The sequence below is a fragment of the Homo sapiens genome, chromosome 3 (genome assembly GCF_000001405.40).
Source record: "Homo sapiens chromosome 3, GRCh38.p14 Primary Assembly".
Classification (NCBI taxonomy): domain Eukaryota; kingdom Metazoa; phylum Chordata; class Mammalia; order Primates; family Hominidae; genus Homo; species Homo sapiens.
The window spans coordinates 57,029,706-57,052,071 of NC_000003.12; the positions used below are offsets into that span (position 1 = coordinate 57,029,706).

General features: G+C 46.8%; 1 protein-coding gene across 12 annotated transcripts in view; it reads right to left on the reverse strand.

The window, feature by feature from the left end:
* Nucleotides 1–22,366, reverse strand: part of ARHGEF3 (Rho guanine nucleotide exchange factor 3) — a 351,849-nt gene that overhangs the window by 302,286 nt on the left and 27,197 nt on the right. For 8 of the 12 annotated variants that reach the window (XM_017006503.2, NM_001128615.2, NM_001377409.1 and 5 more), the window contains one exon: nucleotides 5,383–5,471. The exons of 3 other annotated variants lie outside the window; for them this stretch is intronic. In XM_017006503.2, coding sequence (XP_016861992.1) covers nucleotides 5,383–5,444 — 62 coding nt within the window. In that variant the 5' untranslated portion in view covers nucleotides 5,445–5,471. Of the gene's footprint in view, nucleotides 1–5,382; nucleotides 5,472–14,545; nucleotides 21,065–22,366 lie in introns of those variants that run through there. One more of the 12 variants, XM_047448222.1, reaches the window with a different exon arrangement.

Consider the following 22,366-nt stretch of genomic DNA (forward strand, 5'->3'; position numbering starts at 1 on the left):
AAGGAGGAAACCATATTCTAAGTAGCAGACTGTGGGAATGCTGATGGGATCTCCAAGAAGACACCTTAGAGAGATGTCGCCTTGCCCAGGGTCACAGAGCCCAAGGTCAGAGGAGTTTGCAAACCTCGGGCTCTTGCTCTCCCTTATGTTGGGTTTCTGGCTTCTCAAGGTCAGCAGCTAAACCTCTGGAGGGTGGGGGAAGCAGAGCAGGTCCCAAACAGCCTTTTGGACAGTGAACAAAGCTACTAAAAATCAGTGACCAAAACAGCCCTGGCCTAATGCCAAGATGGGAGCTGATAAGTGGATCAAGGAGAAGAGAGCAGCTAAGAGCAAGCAGCGAAACCACCACGTCTAATGGGGAGGGCTTCGAGCACTATACAAACCAGCCTAACCCTGCAGCATGAAAACTGCCTGCAGCGCTGGGGCAAATTGCAATTCTGGGTCAAGTCCTTCATGTTGCCATCTACAAATCACTCTGTCTTCTAGCCAATTCAGTCCACCAGAGCCACACACGGGGAGGGCCTGGGCCGGATGTCAGGCATCACTGCACCAGACAAGGCCCTTCCCTCCAGGAGAGTAAAGCCTAGCAGAACCGGCAAGGAGGAGGTGCTCAACACATACGGAAGAGGTGAGCAAGCCAGGGGAGATTTTTGTTTTGGAAAAAGAGACATATATGTATATAATCCGTGCCTGGAAGACTCTGCAGGGAATGCCTAATCCCTTGTTTGAGCATTTTCCCAAAGTGCTGAGGGCCACTGAGTAATGGGATGTTTGTTGACTGACTGACCAAATGAATGAATGAATAAATGACCTAAATTAAATCTTCCCATTTCTCCAGCATAAGTGAAGTCCTTACTATCCAACCATTTCACCACAGGTCCATTCATAGGAAGAATTTACAAGAAAGACAAGGACTTTTCCCCCTCAAAATTCTCTCCTTTGCACCTGAGGAAACTGTTCAGAAATTCTGCTTCTGTTGCCACACAGCTGAGGAAACTGAGGCATAGAAATGCACTATCTGTCTGCAGTCACTGATGACCACAGAAAACTGCACTCTCCAGGGTATTTATCTTCTAGAAATCCTATACTCTTGGGCCCCTAAAGTGTAAGTTGGCATCCAGAAATAGAAGCAGCAAGAAATTACTGCTCAGTCAATAAATGCTATGCAAATAGTCCTCCTCACAATAAAGTCATTTGGTTAAAAGACAAACTGCCCATAAATCACAGTAACAAAACTGCATCTCACAAACGGAAGCACGGCCTGTGGGCAGGGATTCCAGGGAGCCCCAGTCCTTGAGGAAGTGGGGTTGGCCCAGGCTGATCTGTGGTCCTTCCAGCTGGTCGGCTTTGTCTCAGCACCTCATCTCAAGGATCCTAGGTCCACCCTATCTTGTTACTCCACCCCTTTTACTCATTGGTCTAGAAATATTAGTAAGTACCTACTGTGTGCCAAGCACACAGTAATGAGGTAAACTGTGTAATAATGGTGAACACAAGAGGTGAGACGTAGCCCCATGAGGTTTGCAGTCCAATAGGTGAAAGAGACACTAAAAAGATAAATACATCTAAGATGAGAAATTGTGTTTACTGATTACCATTTCTGAAACATAAGTCTATCATTCTCCTGACAGAAAAGTCTTTCTAGGTTCTTCACTCTATATGCGACTAAAAATAAGCAAACAAAAACAAAAAATGCCGTCTTTACTGGGTACTGACTATATGCCAGGAGCTTTCCAATGATTAACTCAGAACATCCCCAATGACCCACTGTGGGAGATACTATTATTATCCCCACTGACCAGCATAGATTCATGGGTTTCCACTTAACCACCGCTCAGATGTGTGCAACTACCTCTCCCCCACAGATGCCAGACTCCAAATTCCCTAAGAATTCATATCTTACCCATCTTTTTGTCACTTGTGCATACAATAGTATTCAATCAATGCCCACCAAATGAACAATCAATTAATCGTTCAATGGGCTAGTTTTCTGCAAGATAGTACCCGCTGAATCAGTACTTTGGGAGGCTGAGGTGGATGGATCACGTGAGGCAGTTTTGGAAGAAGAAAGGATCAGTCTCCTAATAATTGCACAAGAGGTAGCTGTGATGCTGTGGAAAGAGCCAGAGCCAGACCCTGGAGATGTGGGAGCATGAACTTGGCAATCATTTCATCACTCTAGGTCTGTTTGCTTAAAACTGTAATGCAGAGTTAAACACAATGAATCTATGATTTCTTCTGGCTCTAAATTTTTATGTCTCTGAAATATATACTAAAAGATGGGGGCTGAGAAAGGCATTTGAAATTGCACTCTGTCTGCAATTTCTTGATCTTAGAATAAGACCTAAAGTCAAACATTTTAGGGTAGGTTGACTGATTAGGGGAGGGCAAGTGAAGTACTTCCTCTCCCTGCACAGCTCAGTTTATGCACTCCCCATAAGGAAGTATATGTAATCCCCATGACAAATATGCTCAACTTGTAAAACCCCTTTGCAGAGAAACATTTTGGATGGGCATGGGTGAGGCTGCCATCCCTAACGGTACCCAAGAACAGTGGTACTGGTGATATGCAGGAGCCCCTGTTCATATGCTGGACAGGGACAAAGCCATCACTTTCAACTCTGCTCTCCCCTGGAAATACCACAGATTCTGAATAACAACTGAGTGTGGTCAAAGCAACTGCAAACATGGGCGTGATGGCCCCAAAGCCATGCTCATTAAACAGAACTCAGCACTCAACAAATGTGGGTCTGTTTGTTACTCCAAGTGAGAGCACTGGGTAGAAACCAGGGATCCATGGTGAGCAAAGTTTTGCTGGTTTCCTTTTACTCTTTGGGTTGGTTTTGAATACGTTTCTGTCTGTTACCTAATGGCCACAAAATGGGGAGAAACAACACAACTTCCTACCTTAGAGGACCACTGTGAGAATTAAATGAGATAAACAGGCCAAGTGATCCACGCAGAGGCTGACATAGTAAATTCTCAAACTGTTGCCAATGCTGATGGCATCAGTGATGGTAGTGGTGGATATAAAAGTAGGGAAATCCAGCTGAGGGCTCTTTGAAGCCCCTAGGGTTAGAAGGAGAAGCAGATGATCCCGGGCTGGACTCTCCTGGGGGAGTATAAGTATACTCCTTGGATGCTTCTCAGAAGAGAAAACAACGTAGCAACCACTCCTGGGAAGGGCCAGGCTCCCCAGATGCCCTGGGGCCCTGGGACTCTGGATAGGTGGATGGGTCCCTGTGGGGACAGAGGCTTATGGCACCATCAGGAGATGAAGCTAGGCAACAGAGTCCTAAGAAGATGAACAACCTCAGAGTTCAGAGGAGGCAGAGGAAACTACAACCACAGAAAGACACAATCATTCACCCAAAAGACTAGCAAAATTAAAAAGCTAAAGATCTGAGGCATGGCAAGATGGTGAGCAAATAGGAGATCTGGTGCCCAGGTGATAAGCAGTGCCCTTTGGAGGATGAACTGGTGATGTTTCAGACCTTACAGGCATACACAGGATGACCCAGCAACTCTAATCCGCGGCAACCTCCCTAGAGAATTCTTGCCCATGTGCTCAGGTGGAACATACCAGAAAGCACATCACAGCACTACCATAAGGGCAACAAACAGAACAAAGCTAACCACCACCATCAGGGAAATGGCCCAATAAACAGCTGGATCCTCGTACTGTGGATATACTATTCACTTGGCTGCAGTAAAAAAAAAAAAAAAATGTAGATTCACATATGTCTTGAAAACATTTTAGGACATATTATTGAATTTATAAAAGGGCTACAAAATAGGCTAACAAGCATAGTATAACAGTACATATTTAAAAACAGAAAGAAAAAAAGGAAGAAAGGAAAGAGTGACTTTTGTTCTACGTATCTAGATAACTAACAAAGTTATGGAAGAAAATGTACAAGGTAGATCCCAGTGGTTACTTCTGGGAAGGGCAGGGATGAGGTAGGAGCTGGGAATGAAAATGGGAGTCAATGGGGATTTCATTTGTATTTTTAACAAGGAAAATCTATTTATTTATTTATAAATAAAATTAATTTTAGGCTGGGCGCGGTGGCTCATGCCTGTAATCCCAGCACTTTGGGAGGCTGAGGTAGGTAGATCACCTGAGGTCAAGAGTTCGAAACCAGCCTGGCCAACATAGTGAAACTTCATCTCTACTAAAAATACAAAAATTAGCCATGTGTGGTGGCGGACACCTGTAATCCCAGCTACTCAGGAGGCTGAGGCAGGAGAATCGTTTGAACCCAGGAGGTGGAGGTTGCAGTGAGCTGAGATTGCACCATTGCACTCTAGCCTGGGCAACAGAGCAAAAACTCTGTCTCAAAGAAAAGTAAATAAATAAATTAAATTAAATTAATTTTAATTATTGACATTACACTAAAAGTTTTTAATTATCTAATGTACTTATTTATTTTAGAGATGGGAGTCTTGCTGTGTTGCCCAGGCTGGAGTGCAGTGGCTATTCACAAGTGCAATTGTAGTGCACTTCAGCCTTAAACTCCTAGGCTGAGGCAATCCTCTTGCCTCAGCCTCCTGAGGAGCTGGGATTACAGGCACACACTACCACAAATGGCTTAAAAAAAAAAAAGGCATAAGAAAGAGGAAGAAATGGTGAGTCAAAGAGAAGACGGAGCTGCCAAGAGCTCAGGGTCTGCCTTTGCCTCCTCTTGGGGGACTGGCCACTCACAAATGCTGGCACAACACATCCAAGCATGGGGCATAGTGTTTTGGAATGAATGTCCATAGTTTGGAATAAAATATTTAATTCTATATCACATTGGTCCTACTTATACCAACTCTTCCTTCTAAGTCTTAGAAAAATCCCATCATACTGAATGGCATTCCTCCTCTGGCAGAGACGTGAAAGAAACATCTCTAGTAAGAAATTAGAGATGTGGAAGAAAATATGTGAAATTTTGCTAACTCCAAATTCTTTTTTTTTTTTTTTTTTTTGACAAGGTCTCACTCTGTCACCCAGGCTAGAGTATAATGGTGTGATCATGGCTCACTGCAACCTCAACCAGCTGGACTCAAACAATCCTCCCGCCTCAGCCTCCCAAGTAGCTGGGACTACAGGCACACATCACCATGCCTGGCTAATTTTTTTTTATTTTTAGTAGAGATGAGGTCTCACTATGTTACCCAGGCTGGTCTCGAACTCCTGGACTCAAGTGATCCTCTCTCACCTCAGCCTTGCAAAGTGCTGGGGTTACAGGCATGAGACACCATGCCTAGCACTATCTCCAAATTCTTGATGGCCTCTACTGACTTATGTAGGCTTAAAGGAAGCCCTCCATTTCATTTAATTGTTGCATACAGGAATTTTAAAATTTTTAATTATTTAGGTTATTTGATTATTTTTACCTTTCCTTGTTTTCTTCCATTCCTCTACAGCTGCATTGATTCATTGCTGTGGAACTGTCCATAGACTCAGTATGGCAGGCTCAGGTCTCCTTTTTTAAAAAGCAAAACAACCAACATTTATCATCTAGGTACATTTATGTTATAAACACACAAAGAGCTGCATTAAATACAAGGGGAATATATCAAGGGTTACCCAGTGTCCACCAAAATCCAATATTTCCTTCTTCCATAATTATTCAAGTTTTATCAGGTACAACATTTTCTTTTCTTTTCTTTTTTTGAGACAGAGTCTCGCTCTGTCACCCATGCTGCAGTGCAGTGGCACAATCTCAGCTCACTGCAACTTCTGCCTCCCAGGGTCACACCACTCCTTTGCTCAGCCTCCCGAGTAGCTGAGTTTACAGGCACACGCCACCACACCCGGCTAATTTTTGTATTTTTAGTAAAGACAGGGTTAGACCATGTTGGCTAGGCTGGTCTTAAACTCCTGACCTCAGGTGAGCCGCCCACCTCAACCTCCCAAAGTGCTGGGATTACAGGCGTAAGCCACTGCGCTCCGCCAGGTACCACATTTTCCAAGCATCCCTGCAGGGAGATATAGCCAAATATCTGGGTTCCCAGTGGAACGTGAGAAGAAGTGATGTGTGCCACTTCTCGGTCTAGGTCTTAGGATATGAGCAACCTTCCCACGGGCTGGAACCCAGCTCTGCCCATGCAGATGATGACAATGCACTTGGAATGACAAAGCAACAAGGTAGAAACCACCTGGGCCTGTGATTGCATCTAGCACAGCCACCCCTGTCACCTTAGAATTACTACCTTACAGAGAAATTTCTTTGTTCTTTAAGTCATTGTTTTATAGGCCCTGGTTTTATGGGTTGTGAACTGTCATCCCAGCTGGGAATATGATTACATGTCCTCACTGGGGCCCTTCTGCAGGTGGGTTTGGTTATTTGGAGCTTGGTACACACTATGTATGTAGAGACAGGTGAGGCCAAACTCTTTTTGGACACAATTTCAGTGAAACTACATGCAACTTCCTGAGGGCCTGGTGCATAGTAAGTACTCAATCAGTACTTAATGAGTGAGGGGATGTTAATAAGCAGGTAATATCTTCCAGTGCGAAGACTCTCAAGAGCAGAGCACTGGGCACAGAATGAAGAATACAGAGGGCATCTCCAAGTATGAGCTGTGAGTTTCATGTCACAAAATGACCACCTGGACTGGTAAAATACCATTCGGGTGCATGACGCCCAAGTTTAGGTAAGGATTCAAGCAGGTGTGCTTAGGAGCAACAGAGGCAAAGAGAAAGACAAGGGAGAGAGACAGAGACAGTGTGCACAGGAGAAGAATATTCCAGTGGCGTGGAGGATTCCTCCCACTATTTCGCTTCCTGAACATTTGCCCCAGGATGAGTCTGAGCCATAACTCTGGGATCCTTCTTCAGTCTCAGGCATTGCATTCCTCACCACTCTGGGTGTGGTTGAGGATCAAAAGATAGATTTTCTTTGTACCACATGGCCCCAAACACAAACCTGCTGCTTCATCTAGTGTCAACCAAAGAAACAGCCATCAGTTTCAACTGTAGAACTGGCTGTGCAGATCATACTGAGGGATAGTGTATTGGTCTCCAGCCTGTCATCGTCCAGGCACAGGGGGTGAGGGTAATTTGGACCACCCATGTTCTTCTAAGCTAGTGCTGGCTGAATGGTCCAGCACCGTTGCATCCACTACTTTGATTACTGAGAATCACAGGCCTGCTTGGCCATATCTCCAGCACAGCCTCCTCCATCTGCCCTACCACAGGCCTGGCCAGATTAAAGCACCATTTAGATAAATTCTCCAATCTAGGTGAGCAGGACCTACAGGATACCTGGGACCCTTGTACCCCAAGGCGTTAGACAGTCAGTTTAGGGGAGAGTCCCCAGCCACTGCCTCCAGTGCCGGTCTTTAACTTGCAAAAAGCACACCATGAAATATTTTTAGCATCTGGATCCCTGTCAGGGGCCACTGCTCTGGCTTCCATCAGAGCTAACTTCATCAGCTGAGACATGTGCATTATGGAGGGGCCCAGGCTAGGGCGAGAGTGAAAATGTGGATCCCAGAAGAAGAAAAGATGGAAGGGTGGTGGGACTTGAGTTCAGAGTCCCGGAGTTGCCACTGCATCCACAAAGGGTATGAAGAGGAATTGAGTAGCCCATACCTGGGTCACTTCTGCAGCTGTGAACACCTCAACCTACCTCATTTCGGCCTAGAAACCAAGGTTGCTCAGTGTCCCAAGCTCCTCTGCAGCATGTAACTGCTGCAAGGGACTTTACACCCACATTCCAAAATGATGCCAACCACAGGACTCTCCTCAAAGCCACATTTCCCAAGCAGCCATGAGGGATCAGGGCCTGCCTTTGAGGGGCCACTGGCTAGTTCTAGGTCAGAGCTTTAGGCTTTTCCTTTCCCATATTGGCAAAAATATTCTGTAGACAGGCACCAATAAACCATCACCCTTTAGGCTGGGCGCAGTGGCTCACGCCTGTAATCCCAGCACTTTGGGAGGCCGAGGCAGGCGGATCACGAGGTCAGGAGATCGAGACCATCCTGGCTAACACGGTGAAAACCCGTCTCTATTAAAAACACAAAAAAATTAGCCAGGCTTGGTGGCGGGCACCTATATTCCCAGCTACTCGGGAGGCTGAGGCAGGAGAATGGTGTGAACCCGGGAGGCGGAGCTTGCAGTGAGCCAAGATTGTGCCACTGCACTCCAGCCTGGGCGACAGAGCAAGACTCCGTCTCAAAAAACAAAACAAAACAAAACAAAACAAAACCCATCACCCTTCAGCCTGTGGCTAGGGGCAGGGACTGGGGGCATCGATCTCTGTGCTCTAGCACTGAAGGATGCCCGAGGGCCTGACACGGACATTGACATGGATTGTTGCATCAAATTCTCACACCAGCCCTAGGAGGCAGGGACTGTTACCATCTCACATGAAGAATCAGAAAACTGGGCACAAAGAAGTTAAGACTTGGCAAAGGCCACACAGGTAGCAAATAATAAAGCTGAGACTGGAACCCCAGGCATTTGGCCTGGGAGTCTGTGTTTCTCCCGACTGTGGCATGACATGCACAGGAAAGCTCGGTGGTGGCTGAATGAATGAACAAATGAATGAATAAACAAAAAATTTCAAAAGCCATTTCAGGAATCGGGTAAGGAATAGTGTCTCAATGAGGCCCCGGGGGTTGTTGGGTTGATCGTGAGCTTAACCTCATCTGCCCTGGATGTCAACCAAGAGGTGATACTCTCGGATCCCTCTCAAGGTTGAGTGTTCAGCCCCAGGAACACTCTAAACCTAGGGGTTTCATACCATTGTTTTGTTTGTTTTTAAGGCAGAGTCTTGCTGTTGCCCAGGCTGGAGTGCAGTGATGTAATCATAGTTCACTACAGCCTCAAACTCCTGGGCTCAAGTGATCCTCCTGCCTTAGCCTCCCATGTTAGCTGGAACTACAGGTGCACATTACCACACCTGGCTCATTTTTTTAATTTTTTGTAGAGATGGGGTCTTGCTATGTTGCCCAGGCTGGTCTCTAATTCCTGGCCTCAAGCAATTCTTGCACCTCAGCCTACCAAAGAGGTGGGATTACAGGCGTCAGCCATCGCCTCAGACCTATACCATTGTTGGTAATGACCACAGCCACTGCTGACTCAGTGCCTCCTATTTATAGGTGGTAAGTTCAGGGCTCTCACACAGAGGCTCCTCTCATCTGCCAGGGCCCTGCAGAAAAGCCAGGATCATACCCATTTTGCAGATGGCAAAACCAGAGATCTGACAGGCTGTGACTTGCTTATAGTCGCAGCACTTAAATGAGGGCTGATGAACAGCATGGGCTTTTTCCCCACCACATAATACCCACCACATCCCTTGGTTAGTCACAAAGTTACAAAGATGAGATAAGCGCTGTTCTGACTCTTCAGATGGAAAGTTTCGTGTTAATCTAAAGTTCATCAGTATTTCCCATCCCAGTCACCTGCATGGAAGAGGAATTCCATTTCTCCCCAGCTAAAAACTCTGGCACCACCACTCCCTCGTTCCTCTCCTCAGCTGGCAGGATCAGCACCCATTGGTATTTGCTGATACCTCCTGCATCAACCTCCTGCAAAGCACAACTGCGTCCATTGGACAGAAGGTCCTGCTAATTCTTCATTTAAAAATTTCCCAGGAAGCACCAAGTGTTGGTGAGAATGTGAAGCAACCAGCACTCTCATATACTGCTGTTGCTGGGAACATAAATTGGTCCCACCATCTTGGAAGACCGTGACAATGTCGAGTCAACCTGCATTTGCTCCTAGGTACGCACGTGCACCAAGAGACATATTCTAGAATGTCCTCAGTAGCACCATGCACAACTCCCCTACATTTGTCTTTCATTGCTGCTGTAATCAATTACCACACGCTTAGTGACTTAAAACAGCACAAATGTATCTCCTCTCATAGCAATGTAGGTCAGAAATGGGTCTACATGGCCTTGCAGGGCAGCATTCCTCCTGGACGTTCTAGAGGAGACTCTGTTCTCCTGCCTTTTCCAGCTTCTAAAGGTCACTTTGCATTCCTCGGCTTGTGGCTCCTCCTCTTGTTTTCATTGCCAGCAATGGTATCTTCAAATCTCTGTCTTCTCTTTCCTCTGCTTTAATCACTACATCTCATTCTCTGAACCAGACCCTCCTATAGGAATCCTTGTGACTACACTGGCCCCTCAAGGATGATCTCCCCATGCCAAGATCCTTAAAGTCATCACATCTGCAAAGTCCCTTTTTCCATGTAAGGTAACACAGTCCCAGGTATTACTGGTGAATGGCACCCGTGACCAGGGATTAGGTCAGAAACATCTTTTGGGAGGGCCATTATGTGACCTACCACAAACTCAAACTGGAAGCTACCCAAATGCTTATCAACAATAGAATGAATGAAATCAATGGTGGTGATTCCCAGCAATGAGAATGGATGACCTACAACCACATGCGGCAACAAGAAAGACACTCAGAAAACAATGCTGAGCTAAAGATGCCAAACACAAGAGTGTGTGCTATCCAAGTCTGTCTACAGAAAGTACCACAACAGGGCCAGGCACAGTGGCTTATGCCTGTAATCCCAGCACTTTTGGAGGCCAAGGCGGGTGGATCACGAGGTCAGGACATTGAGACCAACCTGGCTAACATGGTGAAACCCCATCTCTACTAAAAATACAAAAAATTAGCCAGCCGTGGTGGCACGCACCTGTAGTCCCAGCTACTCTGGAGGCTGAGGCAGGAGAATCACTTGAACCCAGGAGATGGAGGTTGCAGTGAGCTGAGATCACGCCACTGCACTCCAGCCTGGGCGACAGAATAAGACTCCGTCAAAAGAAAAGAAAAGAAAAGAAAAGAAAATACCAAAACAGGTAAAACCATCCCAGGCTATTAGGAGTTAGGATAGCGGTTCTAGTGGGGGAGTGGTGGCTGGAAGAGGAATGATGGGGCTTCTGGGGTGCTGGCAAAGTTCTGTTTCTTAATACAGGTATGATCCATTTGTGAAAACCATCAAGTGATACAGTTATGACCGGTGCCCTTCTCTGTGGGTATGCTGTGCTTCAATAAGATGCTTTAATAAATGGCTCTGCCTGCTTCATCCCATTTCCACTCCACAGGCCTGTGTCCTTTCACCTCTGAATGAAGCAGACCCCAGCTGACCTCCTCAACACCCACACCACCCTGCCAACCGCTGCCCACCAGACTGACCTGGAACTGATCAGCTACTGACAGTGCCCTGCTGCTGCACAGTGCCCTCCTCTGTGAAGGAGTACCTTCACTCCTTTACCTGCCTCTCACATACAGTGACCCCATCTATAACCCCATCTCCTCTCAGGCACTCCCCACTCCCCACCAACTTCTGTAAAACTTGAAATAAAAACCACATCATTTGGACTTCATTATGACTGTCATATACTGATTGCTAATAGGACCAAACACCTACTCTTATCTCCCCAAACAAACTGCAAGTGTCTCAAAAGCAGAACATCTCAAGGTCTTGCACATTCCATTCTGTTCCTAGTTCTGATTGTATGTGAACTTCCAGTGCTAATTAATAATAACTCCTACTAATAGCAACAGCCTTTACTGAGCACCTCATATGCACCAGACTCAGTGCTCCTCGTGCATTATCTCACTTCCTCTTCTCCCACCCTATGAAGCGGGCACTATCACAATCCCTCTATTGAATAGTAGGAAACTGAGGCACAGAATGGTGAATTAACTTGTTCAAGATCCCAAAGTGTATCATGGTAGGGGAGGGATTTGAACACACACCATCTGATTCCAGAGCCCATGCTCTTAAGCCAGACCCCACTCTGCTTCCATAACAACCCCACCCTAATGGGGTGTTAGGCATACAGTTGGTGCTTAACAAACACTTTCACATACTTAATTACCAAAATATATATATACTAAGAAAAAAAGTACACAAACAACAAAATCAAGACTCCACCAAATAAGATCTTTTCATCTTCAGATCTCAAAAGAGGGCATGCCCTCCAGGGAAATTTACAAAAGCTCCGTGTACTCCTTGCTCTGCCTCATGCTTGGCACTCACAGCTTTATAAACTTTTATCAGCAAACAACAGTCAGAGTTGTCCTCCAGGCTTTTATCTGAGCAGGGAGAGAGCGGGATACATTTTTTCTTGCTGTCTGCCAATCTCAGGGCCAGAGCCAACATCAGAACTAAAGGATGGTTGGATGGCTCAGGCTGGGACCACAAGGTCCCAAGCCACCCGCTCCAGATGACCTCACCTCCCCAGTGGCCAAGAAACATGACCCAGAGCCCTTGGCTAAAAACGAGGCCACCACCCCCGAGGGCTGATGTGGCCACTAAACTGAACCAGAGATAATGACATGAGCAGCCGAGACATTAGGTCAGTTACCAAACAGTGCTCTGGTCAGTGTGGACACAGCAGCGCACCTGGGCCAGCTTAGCATTGTTTCCAAGCATCCACTATCACCCTGAGTCCACCCACGCATGGTCTTGAAGCATCTACATGGATACAAATGAAAAGTTCCTATGCCCCAGGAGGATGGGGACTACTATGAGGAGACATACCCTATGAAAAACAACCAAACTGTCCATCGATAAGGCACTGGAGAAATAATGACTGATTGGTGTAGAATATGCAACAGCTAAAACAACAAAGCAGATCTAGATGCACTAGCATGGGAAACACAGCTCAACTCAACATTAGAGGGGAAAAAAGCAAGAACAGAACCTAAAGTATAATGATGTTTCTAGCAAAAGAAAAACCCCACATACTTCAAGACTCCAGCTATATGAAGCAGTGGTGGATGAGAGCCAGCACATACTAGTTTGAGAAAGTCAATGGTGCACATCTCTTTCCAACTCTGTTCAGTCATGTCGGGGTTTGTTGGCCATGGTGGGAGTTTTACACCATGGAAATCAGAAAATGCGGCAAATCATGGCTCCCCGCTCTCCAACCTGTCCCCAAGAGCTGACTGTTAAACATGTCCCAGCATAACACTGTATGTACATAAATATATATATATATATATATATATATATATATATATATATATATATATATTTTTTTTTTTTTTTAGACGGAGTCTCGCTCTGTCGCCCAGACTGGAGTACAGTGGCGTGATCTCAGCTCACTGCAAGCTCTGCCTCCTGGGTTCAGGCCATTCTCCTGCCTCAGCCTCCCAAGTACCTGGGACTACAGGCGCCCGCCACCATGCTCAGCTAGTTTTTTTGTATTTTCAGTACAGACGAGGTTTCACCATGTTAGCCAGGATGGTCTTGATCTCCTGACCTCGTGATCTGCCCTCCTCAGCCTCCCAAAGTGCTGGGATTACAGGCATGAGCCACCGCGCCCAGCCCATAAATATATTTTTTAAAGTTTAGAAAACACAACCTCAAAGTTATTTTTAAGTGGCTGTGTCTGAAGTGGGATATGGGACGGCTGGAAGCTAAGACAGGCTTCAGTTATATCTGTACCACTAACATTTTTTTTTTTAAGACCAAGTCTCTCTCTGTTGCCCAGGCTAGAGTGCAGTGGCGCGATCTCAGCTCACTTACAACCTCCACCTCCTGTGTTCAAGCGATTCTCCTGCCTCAGCCTCCTGAGTAGCTGGGATTACAGGCATGTGCCACCATGCCCGGCTAATTTTTGTATTTTTAGTAGAGATGGGGTTTCACCACGTTGATTAGGCTGGTCTCGAACTCCTGACCTCGTGATCCTCCTGCCTTGGCCTCCCAAAGTGCTGGGATTACAGGCATGAGCCACAGCGCCTGGCTGCCACTAGCATTTTACAACACCAACACCAACAAAAATGTTTATATATGTTAGTATTACTAAAATTGTTTCAAAGTTAAAAAAAAAAAAAAAACCCTGAGCATTACAGTATAATGTAACAAAGCTGTAATGATGGGATATACAGTTGTAAGAGGAAGAGCATCAAGTCAGCCTGAGCATATCATGGAAGGCTTCTCAGAGGAGGTGATGACTGGGCTGAGTTTTGAAGGGTGAATAAGAGCCTACCAGGTCAACAAGCCAGGGCTTCTCTGGATAAAGAACACAGCATAAGTAATTAACAAGGAGGAAAAAGAGATTACAAGAGTGAGGAGGAGGGTGACAGAAAGTATAAGGAGGGCTGGGGCAGTGCAGTGTGTCATCACAGCAGGTTGTGCACCCTTGCATGACATGAGATCATCCATGTCCAGTGTTTAGCCAAGAAGATGTACTCAATGGTTAGTGTTAACTATTTATATTTGCATTTCTACTCCATCATCCCTGGACGCCAAACACTATGGAGGTTATGGGAGATTGCTGGGGCAAGAATTTGGAAGTGAGGTCCCATGACCATCCTCTGAGAGACATTTTGTCAGCTCCACCACTCACATCACCCCCTTGGATTTTCCCAGAGTGCTCTGAAGATGGGCTCTGGTGCCTCCTTAGTGCCCCTGCCACACTCCTCCTTCACCCAATCACACCAATGTGTGCACATGTGTCTCCCCAACTGCACCAGGCTGTGTGGCACCCTGAGCACACAGACAAATGCAATACTTGTTGAACAAATGAACACATTCAGTGAACTGTGTACTCTTCCACTCTAATGAAAGATGATACAAACCTGCTGTGGAATCAGGACACCCGCGCCATGGAGGCATCACCACCAGCTGAAGCAATAAAGTGGTCCACTTGGGGGGGTTGGCCATTCGAGAATCACAGGAAAAGAAGGCATCAAGAGGCAAAGCTGCACAGTACCCAGCCGAGTCCGTAAGTCACTATCCCTCAAAGGAAGATGCATGCTGGGGACACAAGGACTTGTATTTCTAAACACAGTGTCAAGATACCCCAGTGATGAAATGGATGCAACAGGCTAATGACAGCATCGTACTTGCTCCAACAAGTATTTTGAACTCCACTCCCACCAGGCAGCCTACAGGTTTGGTGCTTGCTGCCCCTGTGGCTTAATTACATGGATAGACTGAGTACCAGTTCCAGTTTTCACTGCTTATGTACAAGCTGGTACTGTGGGCATGGTCTCCATCACATGTTCATTTGGGGAGGTTTGGGGAGAAGGTTAGTCAGTCCTCAAGGTCATATCACAAGTCTCTAGTCTTCCCAGTTGAAAATCAGATCCCAGATCCCAGGATACGAGGCTTGGTGGGGATACCACAAGCGGTCAACCCCTGCCTGGTTCCAGGATGCCTGTCTTTAGGCCAAAAGGTATTCCAATTTCAACCAGGGCATCTCATCTTTTATTATGATTTATATGCTAGGGTTCTTGGAGGAGTTCTCATACTGTCAAATGGTTCCAATGGAACAAAAAAGTTTTAAAACCTTGCTTTACATAAAACTATTGGCCGGACGTGGTGGCTCACACCTGTAATCCGAGCACTCTGGGAAGCCGAGGCAGATGGATCACCTGAACTCAGGAGTTCAAGACCAGCCTGGCCAACAGGGTGAAACCTCATCTCTACTAAAAATACAAAAATTAGCTGGGCGTGGTGGCGGGCACCTGTAATCCCAGCTACTGGGGAGGCTGAGGCAGGAGAATCGCTTGAACCTAGGAGACGGAGGTTAAAGTGGGCTGAGATCGCACCATTGCACTCCAGCCTGGGTGATAAGAGCGAAACTCTGTCTCAAAACAAAAAACAAAAAACAAACTACTACTGTCAGCCTGTCTCTCTCTGGGTCTCTTCAGTAATGCCTTTCATGGACACTCAGTATGTTTTTGTTGATGGACAGAGAGCATGCTTATGGATTCATGGAGGACCCAAAGGTAGGAAGGAACAGGACACAGTGGTCAGAGCAGGACTGGGGTCCCCCATTCTGTGCTGCCTACTGTATGATAGGCATGGACCCAGCAATGGGTTGTCTATGTCACATTGTCATCATTGTCCTCCTCCTCACCACAAGCAATGGCAATAGAGGCCTTTTCATATGCCAGACACCCTGCTGAGGGCTTCAAATGCTCAACCCACTCAGCAATGTTGTCAGGAACTCTTATCTCCTCACAGAAGAGGAAACCTAGGCACAGAAAGCACAGATTTGCCCACAGAGCTAGTGACCTTAAGAACCAGGGCAGAAGCACAAAAACCAAGAACGTTCTCCCCCAAACAGAGGTCCCAAAGGGAAGTGGCAGACATGCAAAATGGCCCTAGAAATGGTCTTGTGCCAGTTTTTCTAATTGAGGTTAAAACTGGATCCCTTGGGCAGCGAAAGATTTTCTGACCTGATCCTGCACCAAACAGGGCATTTGTTTAAATGAGCTTCATAGAATCAACACACATCACACTCACTAACTCAGCTCAAAGTCTGGTTTGTCTCGTTATCATTCATTACTTGCAAGGACAAATGCTTAAGTACAGCATACTTCATGCCCAGAGTGCTTCAAAATGCAGAAAAAAATAAGGTGAGCTCTCTTAGAAGCCCAATTCTAAATAATGCTTTATGAAATTATACCTAGCTAGCCACTTAGAGACAATTTACAATTCACTGAAATCTATGAGGCTCTAGTTAAGGGGCACAGATGACCAAGATATATCAAGGACCTGTTCTCTAACTGCAAATTCACACAAGATCCCAGAGATGTGCACATTGTTATCCACATTTTCGAGAACGAAATAAACTACAGCTTTAAGCAACCTGGCCAAGGTCCAGCAGTTGGAACCGGACAATAGGGGTTGAACAGCTGGGTCTGTCTGACTCCCGGGTCCAGACCTCCCAAACTTCCAATATCTCATAGGTTCTGGCACCTGAGTAAATATGCAGCCCAACTCCCCTACAAAACAAAACTCTCTGGCTCAATCTTAGCTCCATCTCTGTGCTCTGACCCAAATGTCAGCTGAGAAAGACCCTGCAAAAGGGAGGACGAAGCTCAGCCTTCTGACACTGGAGGGCGAATTCTAAAGTTAGTGGGAAAATCCTGCAGAGTTCAAAATTCCCCTGGAAAACCCCTCAGGAAGATGCATCTTAGTGAGCTGCTCACCCTCTCTGGAGGAACACAACTCGGTTCTCCTACAGTGCTAGAGCAGGTGACTGTGTGTTCAGCTGCACTGCAGGTAAAGTTGGTGGTCAGAGCCAAAGGAAAACACACACCTCTAACCCCCAGACTCACACACAGAGCTGCCCTGGTTGAAGTGCTCCGAATGTGGGGCCTGTACAGGGAGTCCAGCAGATTCACCACCCCCAATCTCCTGTATCCTTCAGAATATACACTCATTAAGTGGAACAGTGAGATTAAACTGCTGTTTTTCTCTTTTTTTCCTAAGAGATTCTAGTTTCGTTTACATGAACTAAATGCAAGAGAAATGTGATTCCATAATACCATAATTACACAATGACAAGATTTTACATAAGCTATTAAAACATCTATATTGCAAAAACATTTACAACAGAGAAAGCCAATGGAGGCCTGGGGTTCCAAAATTAGACTACTGGGACCTGGTGTGGTGGCTAACGCCTGTAATCCCAGCACTTTGGGAGCCAAGGTGGGCAGATCACCTGAGGTCAGGAGTTCAAGCCCAATCTGGCCAACATGGTGAAACCCCGTCTCCACTAAAACTACAAAAATTAGCTGGGCGTGGTAGCATGAGCCTGGAATCCCAGCTACTCAGGAGGCTGAGGCAGGGGAATCACTTGAACCGGGAGGTGGAGGCTGCAGTGAGCCGAGATTTTGCCACTGCACTTCAGCCTGGGTGACAGAATAAGTAAGACTCCGTCTCAAACAGAAACAAAAACAAAAACAAACAAAAAAAAAACTTCGTCTCAAAAACAACAACAACAACAAAGTGAAACTATTGGGACTTAAATTCATTCGACCTCTGCTACTTAGCAGCTATAAGATCTTGGAAAGGACTGCTCTATGCCTCAGTTTCCCCAACTAGAAAGCAGGGGTCGTAATGGTGTCCATCTCATGGGACTATTATGGAGATCCAATGAAGCAGTGTAAGCAAAGAGCCCAGCACAGTGCCATGCAAAGGTCAGTGTCCTTTCCTCCTTTATAAAAACAAACCAAAAAAGATGGGAAAGCAGAGGGTCTCTTGGAGAAGTTAAAAAGCCTTTTGGAGATCCCCCAGTGAGCAAGTTTCAGAGTCAGCGTTGTATTCAATGCTGTCGATTTTGGGAGCTGGATGTAAGAGAGGAGACCTCTGTTGGAATGAAGTGAACCCAGGGCAGCTGGGTTAAAGGAGCAGGAGATAGAATCTGAAGCCTTCCGGAGCTGGGATGCTTGAGCAAACAGGAGGGTGAGAAGAAGTGGGGGAAAGATACATCCAGACATTACTAAAATACCCATGAGGAACAATTACAGACCCACCCAGAAGGCAAGATTGTACAGGCATGTGGATCTCCAGAGGCAGTAAAGCTCAGCCACAGTCACAGAGAAAGTGACCTGACTGATAGTAACCCTTGGATGAGCCTTCACGCACTTCAGCCCCTTCCTGCTGGCCCAGACACGCGCTGGCCTTCAGAGGATCCAGGTCTTCCCTCCCACTCCATCCAGCACCACCACCACCCCGCCCTAACTCCATACACCAAGATCTGGATCTGCTTTGCAAGATCCCTCCAGGATTCCAGACCACAATCCTCTTGTCCAAGAGACACACACCCACAGTGCACATGAGAAATGACAATGAGGAATGAGCATTATGGAGCTCAGCCAGTCAAGTCACATGTCCACCATCAATTTCCATTCTGCCAGCTGCTGAACCTTCACTGACTGCTTGGGTGGAGGAGAATTAACTGGGGAGGCACTTCTTCCAGCACGATGAGACCTCTATTACCCAACAGATTTGCACATCAAGAGCAAGACTACAACTTCTACAAAAGCCATCTGGAAATGTGCAGGGAGATCGGGTGAAGGAGGACCCCTCCATTTGGTTATAATCATTCTTCTGTGTCCAAGGAGAGGCAGACAATGGAAATAGACAGATGCTTCCGGAGGCAAAGCCTGGCACTTGAGCTCTGTGTGCTCTCGGGGTAGGAGCAGCTGTGCCCCACGCCCCCCTCCTCCTTAAGGCTGGCTGGGAGAATGAGACCACAAACCAAAGCGAATTGGGGACACAGGCCCCCAAACTGTTAGAATTTCAGCTATCATAAACCTACTTGACCTTGTGTAATTACTGGTGGCAGCAGAGACACACAAGTTCAGAACCCAGACATTTTAACTCCTGCTAATTGCAGGAGGGGAACAGCCATTGCCACTACCCAGAAACCCCACCTGGTGACCTGGCACCAAGAAAACCAACTTCACCCAGCATGGCAGGACATGCCAGGGCCTGTGGCTGAGGACGAGGATGTCAGAGCTAGGAGGACACACAGCGTTAAGAGCCTACAGGTGTTCTGACATGGCTGGGTAGAATCATCCAAGCAGAGAATCATGCTCTGCTCAGCTCAGACCTTCTGAAACAGACTTGCCAAGGCTGGGTCTGGGAATCTGAACTTTAAAGATCCCTCCCAGGAGCCGGGCACGGTGGCTTATGCCTGTAATCCCAGCACTTTGGGAAGCTGAGGCAGGAGGATCACTTCAGGCCAGAAGTTCGAGACCAGCCTGAGCAACATAGTGAGACCCCATCTCTACAAAAACTAAAAAATTAGCCAGGTATGGTGATGCATGCCTGTAGTCTCAGCTACTCAGGAGGCTGAAGTGGGAGGACTGCTTGAACCCAGGAGTCCGAGGTTGCCGTAGGCTATGATTGGGCCACTGCACTCCAGCCTGGGCGACAGAGTGAGACCCTGACTCCAATAAATAAACAAATAAGAAAAAAATATAATAAAATTAAAATCCCTCCCAGGTGACTGGGCTGCTCTCGAAACTGGAGCAGTCCAGCCTGCTGGGTTTATCTGTGGGAGATGTGAGACCATACGGTTGTTAGTGGTTCATTCATTCCAGGGTTGCGTATGTGTCTGGCTCTAAGAAGACACAGCTCCAGCCCTACAGGGATGCAGAATGTTCTAAGCAGCTGAGTTCACCTGGGGAATTGCTCAGAAATGCAGATGTCTAGGCTTTACTACCTAGAATTGGAGTTCCAAGGGGCTCAGAATCCAGTAGGGAAACAAAAGCAAAGCCTGACAAGAGGAGAAATCAGAAACTATGATGGCTGGGAAGGCAATTCCAACAGAGAAACTAGCTCTGGGGGAATGGAGGGTGGCTTCTTGGCACAAGAAGGGAAAGATGTGCCCCTGCCCAGCACCCACTAGGTGCAGCCCCCTGACTGCTGTCAGCATCGTCCACATTCGCAGGACCCTGCAAGGGCACTACATTAATCCCCATCTTACAGATGAGGATAGTGAGGGTCAGGGATTGACAGCAACAACTGCAGGGGCTGGGATGTGAGCCCTGGCAGCCAGAGGACTTGCTCTTTCCACTCTCAGCCCCTCTCCTCCTGAGGCTCAGGCTCAGAACACCCTTATCCACCCAGATTTTGAATCCAGAGACCTGCAAGGTGTCCTCCATCCTTCTCTCATCTTACCCTGTAGGTCCAATCAGCAACTAAGGCCTGACCCTTCTCCTTCCACTCCCTTCTCTCAGCCCCTGCTGCTAACACGTTCTCCATTACCACCTGCAGTATTGAAAATACAAGCCCAATCGGCCAAGTCATTCCTTGGCTTAAACCTCTGCAAGGGTTTCCCACAACCCTAAAAATACAAATCTTCCTCCCAAGTTTGCCTCAGGGCCTTCCCACAGGTTGTTCCCTCCCCTAAATGCTGTTCTTCTCACTCTCTACTCTCAGGACTATCAAAACTAAATTGGGTTTCCTGCTTCCACCCTGGAAGGCCAAGGCCACAGAGCAGGGCAGCTCTATGCTGCCTATGGCTGAGCCCCAGGGCACACAGTACAGGGGTAGTGGGGAGAAAGATAAAGAAAGAGAGAAAGAGAGAGAACTGGGGGGATGAATTGGGGGGTCAGTTGTTGACTGACTGAGGGACACTACAGGTGGTCTGAGGTCCAAGTATAATGGTGGGGGAAAAGCCACCATGGTTAGAGGCTGGGCAGACAGGCTGGGGCCAGAGTGGGAAGGAAAGGCTGTGAACACCACAGAAGGGAGCAAGGATGTAAGCCCCAGGGCCATGAATAGCTGTGGACAACTATGGACAACTGTGGTCAGCTGTGGAGACTCTTGAAAGCCAGGGAGTAACACGATCAACTTCACACATACAGTATTGATGGAACTGTGCTCATCTCTTTGAAAGGCAATCTATCAATAACCACCAAAGTTTTAAATCTGCATGTCTGTGAACCCAGCAATTCAAGTCTACCAAGGATACTCACTGCAGCATCCTTCCCTATTAGCAAAAGCAAGAAGTGGCCTCAATGGCCATCCAGAGAATGAATTATGGCAGACAAGTCCACAGTCCCTTTTCCAACCCTTGGTGCTGGACATATTTCGGAATTCATAACCTGTTTGCATTTGAGAAAGGTAGTATGGAGTATGTACAGGATGCTATATCAAACCCCAGCAGGGCCAGGCACAGCACCCCAAAATCCAGTACATAAGTATTTCTACAGCTGAATGTGTAACTACTTCTGGTACATACTATGAGTAATCTCCTACTAACTCAAGCCAGGTTTGGTCATTAAATGAGTTTGCACCAAACTTTTTTTATTTAAAAAAGTGTGGTTTTCTGAGGTGGGCGGATAACCTGAGGTCAGGAGTTCGAGACCAGCCTGACCAACATGGAGAAACCCCATCTCTACTAAAAATACAAAATTAGCCAGGTGTGGTGGTGCATGCCTGTAATCCCAGCTACTTGGGAGGCTGAGGCAGGAGAATGGCTTGAACCCGTGAGGCGGAGTTTGAAGTGAGCCAAGATTGCGCCACTGCATTCCAGCCTGGGCAACAAGAGTGAAACTCCACCTCAAAAAAAATAAAAAATGTGGTTTTCTTGATTTTGTAATTACAGATAAGGGTTGGATGAAGGAATAATAAAAATAATAACACCAGTGAACATTTACTGAGCCCTCATATGTGCAGGTACTGCTCTTGGTGCTTTGCACAAACTGGCTCACTAGCCCACCACAGGCACTGATGCACTTCATTTTTCTAGCACACCAGGCCAGGCACGGTGGCTCACGCCTGTAATCTCGGCACTTTGGGAGGCCGAGGTGGGTGGATCACCTGAGGTCAGGAGTTTGAGACCAGCCTGGCCAACATGGTGAAACCCTGTCTCTATTAAAAATAGAAAAATTAGCCAGGTGTGGTGGCGGGAGCCTGTAATCCCAGCTACTTGGGAGGCTGAGACAGGAGAATCGCTTGAACTGGGGAGACAAGGTTGCAGTAAGCCAAGATCGTGCCACTGCACTCTAGCCTGGGTGACAGAGTAAGAGTCTGCCTCAAAAAAAAAAAAGTACCCTTCATCATTGCCACTACCACCACCATCTACTGAGTATCAACTGTATGCTAGGCACTCTTCTAAGTGCTTTATGGTAATTATCACACTAAAG